The sequence below is a fragment of the Homo sapiens genome, chromosome 22 (genome assembly GCF_000001405.40).
Source record: "Homo sapiens chromosome 22, GRCh38.p14 Primary Assembly".
In the NCBI taxonomy this organism is placed as follows: Eukaryota; Metazoa; Chordata; class Mammalia; order Primates; family Hominidae; genus Homo; species Homo sapiens.
The window spans coordinates 15513705-15522269 of NC_000022.11; positions in this window are offsets into that span (position 1 = coordinate 15513705).

Consider the following 8565-nt stretch of genomic DNA (forward strand, 5'->3'; position numbering starts at 1 on the left):
GGGTGTCCACCTGGAAAATGATGTATTCCAAGAGACTAGGCATGCACATTGGGCCTGGGGTCCACCTGGGTCCTGATGTCTACCTAAGGCTGGTATTGAACTGGGGCCTGTGTGTTCACTTGGAGCCTGATGTTCATTTGGAACCTGGTGTTCACCTAGGACATGGGTATCCACCTGGATCCTGATTTTCAGGTGGGGAGTGGATATAGACCTGGGACCTGATGGCCACCTATGCTATAAGTAACCCAACCACCTGAGGCCTGATATTCACCTGCGGCCTGATGTCCACCTGGTACCTGTGTGTCAATCTAGTGCCTGGTGTCCACTTGAGGACTAGGTAGACACCTGGGGCTTGGTGTCCACCAGAGACCTGGTGTTCATCTTGCAACCAGTGTCCACCTGGACCCTGTGTATCAACCTGTGGCCTAGGTGGCCACTTGGAGCTTTATGTGCACCTGGGGCCTGAGAGTTTCCTAGGATCTGATGACAACTGGGGCCCAGCGATCCACCTGGGACATCAGGCTCCAAGTGTATGCCCAGGCTCCATATGGACACCAGGCCAGGAGAATGCCAGCCCTTATCTGAACATCAGGTCCTAGATGGATGCCCAGGTCCCATATGTACATCAGGCCCCAGGTATACACTGGACTCCAGGTGGACACCAGCACTCAGTTGGATACACACACTCAAGGTGGACACCAGGCCCCACGTGAATTCCTACACTCCAGGTGAACATCAGGTCCCAAGTGGATACCTGGACCCCAGATGGATACCAGTCTCTAAATTAATACCAGGCCTCAGATGGTCCTTAGGAGCCATGTGGGCATTAGTCATCAGGAAGTTACCTAGGCCCAAAGTGGACATCAGGCCCCATGTTGACACAAGATCCAGTTGGAAGTCAGGCCCCAGGTGGACACCCAAGCCCTAGGTAAATACTTAGGTCCCAAGTTGACAGCAGGCCCTATGTGAACACTCAGAACTCAGGTGGACATGAGGCCTCAGGTGGACATCTGAGTTCATCTGGAACCTCATGTTACAGGCCCCATGTAAACACCGGGCCTTAGGTGGATACCCAATCTCTAGGTGGACATCAGAGCTCAGATTGACACAAAGACGCCAGTAGACATAATGTACTAATGAATATCCAGGCCCCTGGTAAATACCCAGGCCCCAGATTGACACCAGGGTCTATGTGGACACACAGGCCCCAGTTAGAAAATAGGCCCAAGGGAGACACTGGACTGGACATCAGGTCCCAGGCTGACAACCATGCTTCAAGTTGACACCAGGCCCCAAGTGAACATCTGGCCCCAGCTGAACACTAGTCCACTGGTGAATACCTAGGCCCAAGGTTGAAATCAGGCCCCATGTGAACACTAGACCCCAGATAAACACTTATACCCTAAGTGGGCATCAAGCCTCAGGTGGTTACCTGTTCCCAAGGTGAACATCAGGACCCTGATGGGCACCAGTTATCAAGTGGATTCCTAGGCCCCAGGTGAATATCAAGCCCTAGGTGGATACCAGGCCCCAGGTGGATACCAGGATCCTGGTAGACATCAGGTCCCAAGAGGACCCTAGAACCCAGGAGTACATCAGGCCACATTAACACGAAGGCCCCAGATGAATACCAGGCCAATTGTGGACATCAGGCCTGAGAAGGGTCCTCAGGCTCCAGGTGGACATCAGGCGCCAGGTGAACATCCAGCACTCAGATGAACATTAAGCTTCAGGTGGACATCATGCCTCAGGTGAACTCCAGGCCCCAGCTAAACATCAGGCCCCAGGTGGATGCCCAGGTTCCGGGTGCACATCTGGCCACAGTTGGACATTCAACCCTAGGTGACCATCAGGCCATAGGTGAATACACGGTTTCCAGGTGGACATCAGATCAAAGGTAAACATCAGTCCCCCAGTGGACATCAGGCCCAAGATGGACACTGAACTAGAGGTTTACATCAGGCCACACATTGACACCTGGTCCCAGGTGGACATCAGGCCCCAGGTGGATACCTAGGCTTCCAGTGAATTTGACACCAGGTTGACATTCAGGCCCCCAGTGGTCATCTGGCCTCATGTGAACACTCAGACCCCAGGTGCACATGATGTCTCAACTGGACACCAAACCCCTAGTTTGATACCCAAGGCCCAGGTGGACACCAGGTCCAAGGCTGACACTCAAGCCCTAAATGAATACCAAATTCTAGGTGAATAATTCAACCCAGGTGTTCATTAGGACCCAGCTGGATACCAGTCCCCAGGTTAACACAAGGCCCCCGGTGGGCACCTAGGCACCAGCTGGACATCAGGCCCTATGTAAACACCCGGGTCTCCGGTGAAAACCATGTCCCAGGTGGACATCAGGCACTACGTGGACACGGGTCCACAGGTGGACATCTAGCCGCTGGGCGACATGCAGCCCCAGGCGGTCATAACCATTTCCATGGATAAACCATTCCCAGGTGGATATCAGGCCTCAGGAGGATGGCAGTCACCAGGTAGCCATCAGGCCTCAGATAGACGCCAAGGTCCCAGATGTACAGCAGGCCCCAACTGAACCCCAGACTCATGTGGACATCAGGCCACAGGTAGACACCAAGCCTTAGGTAGATACCTAACTTCAGGTGGACATCAGACCCCAGGTGGACACCCAGTCCCCGGGTGGACAATCAGGCCCCAGGCACACATCAGGCCTTAAGTGGACACCCAGGCCCCAAGTTGATATCCAGCTCCCAGGTGATCACCAAGCCCCAGGTAGACACCAGGCCAAAGCTGAGCAACAGGATGCAGTAGATCATCAGGCCACAGCTGGATACCAGTCCCCGGTGAACACAAGGCCCCAGTGGGACACAGATCTAAGGCAGACATCAGGCCCCAGGTGGACATACAGGCCTGAGGTGGAATTCACCCTGAGGGGGACATTCGGCCCCAGGTGCGCATCAGGCCTCAGGTGAATAACCAGTCCCCAGGTGGACATTAGCCTGCAGGTCAACCACAGTCCCCAGGTTGATACCTGATCTCCAAGTGGCTACCCAATCTGCAGGGTAACATTAGGCCCCTGTAGGATCCCAGGCTGCAAGTGGATTCCTAGGCCTCTGGTGAACATCAGGTGCAGGTGTCCAAGCAGGTCCTGGGTGGACATAACTGTGTACAGGTAAGGAGTTGACCTGTGGGGAGGGTGAGCAGTCAGCAGCCCACTGGGGCCCTGAGAAAGTTTTCTGGAAGGAGGAGGCCGAGGGGATGGAAACTTAAAGAAGCGACCTCACTTCCTTGGCAACAGACCCTAACAGAACTAAGAATTCTGGTAACCAGGCCAGGCACGTTGGCTCACACCTGTAATCCCAGCACTTTGGGAGGCTGAGGCAGGAGGATCATGAAATCAGAAGATCGAGACCAGCCTGACCAACATGGTAAAACCACATGTCTACTAAAAATACAAAAAACAAACAAGGTCAGCAAATCGAGTCCATCCTGGCTAACACAGTGAAACCCCGTCTCTACTAAAAATACAAAAATTATCTGGGCATAGTGGTGGGTGCCAGTAGTCCCAGCTACTCAGGAGGCTGAGGCAGGAGAATGGCATGAACTCAGGACCCAGAGCTTGCAGTGAGCCAAGATCTCGCCACTGCACTCCATCCAGCCTGGGGGACAGAGCGAGACTCTGTCTCAAAAAAACAAACAAACAAACAAACAAACAAACACAAAAAAACTAGCCAGGTGTCGTGGTGTGTGTCTCATGCCTGTAATCCCAGCTACTCAGGAGACGGAGGCAGGAGAAGTGATTGAACCCAGTAGGCGGATGTTGCACTGAGCCGAGATCATGCCACTGCACTCCAGCCTGGCCAACAGAATGAGACTATGTCTCAAAAAAAAAAAAAAAAGAAAAGAATTCCAATAACCAGGCACCCACATCCTAGAGTTAGCCCCGTAGCCAGCTCACTTGGTGGGAGACACTCAAGAGAGCAAGATGTTGTGCTGCATCCCCACATCTCCAGGCTCTGGCTTCAGGAATGGCAGAAGTGAGAGCCTTTCTTTGCTGATGACGCCCTTGTAGGCTCATCCCTCACCCCAGATGCCTCTGGCCATTTGGCAGAAGCCCCCCCCCCCCAGGTACCACAGGACAGGAGTCACCAGGTAGACATCAGGCCCCAGATAGACACCAAGGTCCCAGATGTACAGCAGGCACCAACTGAACCCCAGACTCATGTGGACATCAGGCCACAGGTAGACACCAAGCCTTAGGTAGATACCTAACTTCAGGTAGACATCAGACCCCAGGTGGACACCCAGTCCCCAGGTGGACAATCAGGCCCCAGGCACACATCAGGCCTTAAGTGGACACCCAGGCCCCAAGTTGATATCTGGCTCCCAGGTGATCACAAAGCCCCAGGTAGACACCAGGCCATAGGTGAGCAACAGGATGCAGTAGATCATCAGGCCACAGCTGGATACCAGTCCCCAGTGAACACAAGGCCCCAGTGGGACACAGATCTAAGGCAGACATCAAGCCCCAGGTGGACGTACAGGCCTGAGGTGGAATTCACCCTGAGGGGGACATTCGGCCCCAGGTGCGCATCAGGCCTCAGGTGAATAACCAGTCTATATATATATATATATATTATATATATCTATATATATTGTGTTGGATATATATATCTATATCTATATATCTATATATCTATATATATGTATATCTATATATATCTATATTTATCTATATATATTGTGTTGGATAAATCCAACAGCACATTAAAAATTTAATTCACCATGATCAATTGAGTTTTATTCTAGAAATGCTAGGATGATTCAACATATGCAAATCAATAAATGTGATTCATCACATAAAGTTAAAAACAAAAACCACAGGATCATTTCAATTGATGTTGAAAAGACAATCATAAAATAGGAGAAAATATTTGTAAACTATCCATCTGACAAGGGATTAACAACTAGAATATATAAGGAGCTCAAACAACTCTATAGAAAAAATCTGATCATCCAATTTAAAAATGGGCAAAAGATCTTGCTCAAAAGAAGACATATAAATGGCAAACAGGCATGTGAAAAAGTGCTCAACATCATTGCTCATCAGAGAAATGCAAACCAAAACTACAAGACGAATCATCTAACCCTAGTTAAGATGGCTTATATCCAAAAGACAGGCAGTAAGAAATACTGGCTAGGATGTGGAGAAAAGGGAACCCACTATTGGTGGGAATGTAAATTAGTACAATTACTATGGAGAACAGTTTGGAGGTTTCTCAGAAAAAAAACAAAAACAAAAATAGAGCTACCATATGACCCAGCAATGCCATTGGTAGGTATATATACGAAAGAAAGGAAATCAGGATATCTGAGAGATACCTGCACTCCCATGCATATTGCAGCACTATTCACAATAGCCATGATTTGGAAGCAACCTGTGTGTCCATGAACAGATGAATAAATAAAGAAAATGTGGTTAATATACACAATAGAGTAATATACAGCCATGAAAAAGAATGAGATCCTGTTATCTGCAACAACATGGATAGAACTGGAGGTTATTATGTTAAATAAAATAAGCCAGGGACAGAAAGACAAATTTTCCATGTTCTCACTTATTTGTGGGAGCTAAAACTTAAAATAACTGGATTTATGGAGATAGAGAATAGAGTAATGGTTACCAGAGATGGAAGAATAGTAGGGTTAAGGGGAAGAATGAATAATCGGCATAAAAATACAGTTAGATAGAATAAGTAAGATCTAGTATTTGATAGAACAACAAGGTGACTATAGCCAAACATAATTTATAGTACATTTAAAAATAACTAAAAGAGCATAATTGCATTGTTTGTAACACAAAGAAAGGGTAAATGTTTGAAGTGATGGATACCCCATTTACCGTGATGTAATTATTATACATCGTATGCCCGTAGAAAAATATCTCATGTACCCCATAAACATATACAGTCAGTGTGTACCCATAAAAATTTAAAAAGGAAAATATAAAATAAACAACCTGATATTACAACTCTAGTATCTAATAAAAAAAGAACAAACTAAACCCAAAGTCAGCAGAAGGAAAGAAATAACAAGGATCTGAATAGAAATAAACAGAATAGAGACTAAAACTACAATAGAAAAGAACCCAATGTAATAAAGAGTATTTTTTTCAGAAGGATAAACAAATCAACAAGCCTTTAGCCAGACCAAGGAAAAAGGAGAAAGGACTCAAATATTAATACAATCAAAAGTGAAAAGGGAGACATTACAACTGATACCACAGAAATATAAAAGCTCATAAGAAAAAAAGCTCATAAGAGAGTACTATGAAAAATTGTACAGTAACAAATTGAATAAAGCAGAAGAAATAAATAAATTCCAAGATACATGCAAGATACCAAGACTGAATCATGAAGAAAAAGTAAGTACGAACAGACCAAAAATGAATAAGATTGAATTGTAATAAAGTCTCCCATCAAAGAGAAGCCCAGAATAGCTTTACTGTTGTATTCTACCAAACATTTAAATAATTAGCAATCCTCAAACTCTTCCAAAAAAAATCTAAGAGGAAGGAATACTTCACTTCCAAACTTTTTTTACATGGCCAACATTACTCTGATACCAAAGTCAGCCAAGAACAAGAAAAAGAAAAGAAAAGAAAAATTACAGGCCAATATCCCTGATGAACATAGATGCAAGAATCCTCAATCAAATACTAGCACACTGAATTCAACAGCACATTAAAAAGATAACTTACCATGCTCAAGTGGATTTACCCCAAGGATACAAGGTGGATCAACATACATAAATCTATAAATGTGATATACAACATTAACAAAATGAAGCCCCAAAATTATATAATCATCTAATTAGATGCAGAAATGGCATTTGAAAAATTCAACATTGTTTCATGAAAAGATTCTCAACAGAGTTGGTTTAGAAGAAATATACTTCAACACAATAAAGACCATGTATTACAAGCCTACAGCTCACATTATACTCAATGTACCCTCCAAATCTCAGGATGAATTGTGATCCCCAGTGTCAGAGGGGGTGCCTGGTGGGAGGTGTCTGTGTTATGGAGGTGAATCCCTCATTGGATGGTGATGGTATCCAACCCAACCCTCAGGAATGGGTTTGCATTTTACCCGTAGTAGAGTTACCATCAGATCTGTTGGTTAAAAAGAGTGTGGGACAACCCCCTCCCCACCTTTCTCCCTCTCTTGCCATGTGACACACCTGCTCCCCCTTTGCTTTCTTCAATGAGTAAAAGCTTCCCTAGGCTTCAGAAGCTAAGAAGATGCTGATGCCACGCTTGTACTGACTGCAGGACCATGAGCCAAATAAACCTCTTTTCTTTATAAATTACTCAGTCTCAGGTATTCCTTTATAGCAATGTAAAATGGACTAAAACAAATGTTATTGGTGATTTATGCAATGGCCATTTTAAGGGTGTGGTGGGGGGAAGCCATATTTAAATATATTAGAGGTGAGAAAGACATGAGGAAAAGATGAAGATTCCTTACGGTCTCTCAAGTATGGCAGTCATGCTCCTGCCTTGTGGCCCGTATACATGCCATCTCCTCTGCCTGGAATGCTCTTTTCCCAGATATTTATGTTTCTTTCCCCCACACTCCCTTCAAATCTTTGACCAAATATCACCTTTTCAGTGAGGCCTTTCCTGACTAGCTATTGAAAATTCCACCCAGGGGAATTGAGAGATATCGGTCAAAAGGTACAATGTTTCAGCTAAACAGGATGAATAAGTTTTGGAGATCTACTGTACAACATAGTGACTGTAGTTAATAGTCATGTGTTATACCATTGTCCCTAAATATCTGCAATATCTGGGGGGTGATTTGTTCCAGGACTCCCCAAGGACACCGAAATCCTGGGATGTTCAAGTCCCTTATATAAAATGATGTAATTTTATATTTGCATGTAACCTATGCATATTCTTCCATACACTTTAAATCATCTATAGATTACTTATAATACTAATAAAATATAAATGTTTTATAAATAGTTGTTATAACGTATTTTTTTTATTTTTACTGCTTTTATTGTATTTTTTGTGGGTTTTTTGTCCTAATAGTTTCTATCCAGTTGGTTGGATGCCTGAATGTGGAACTCATGGAAACATAGGGCCAAAAGTATACTTGAAGTTTTTAGAAGAGATTTTAAATGTTCTCATACAATAAAATGAAAGTATGTGGAAGTGATAAATATGTTAGTTTGAATTAATCGTTTCACCATGTATACATATCAAAAAATCATCTTGTATGCCACAAATACATACAGTTTTTAAAATATAAAATAAAAAATATTCAATCACCTATTATAAAGCAAGCACATATTGAACAAGTGCCAAGTTAATCTCATATACTGGATAATGATTCCATGGAAAGTAGCCTTGCTTAATTGGGAAAAGACCCAAGTGACAGAGTAGCTCCCTATGGAAAATTGTAACTGGTTTAAGTGACAGCTTAAACTCCAGAATGTCTCACCAAACAGTCAAATATATCTCTGCTCATAAGTATATTTCTCAATGAATTGTTATCAACTGATACTCCTGTGTAA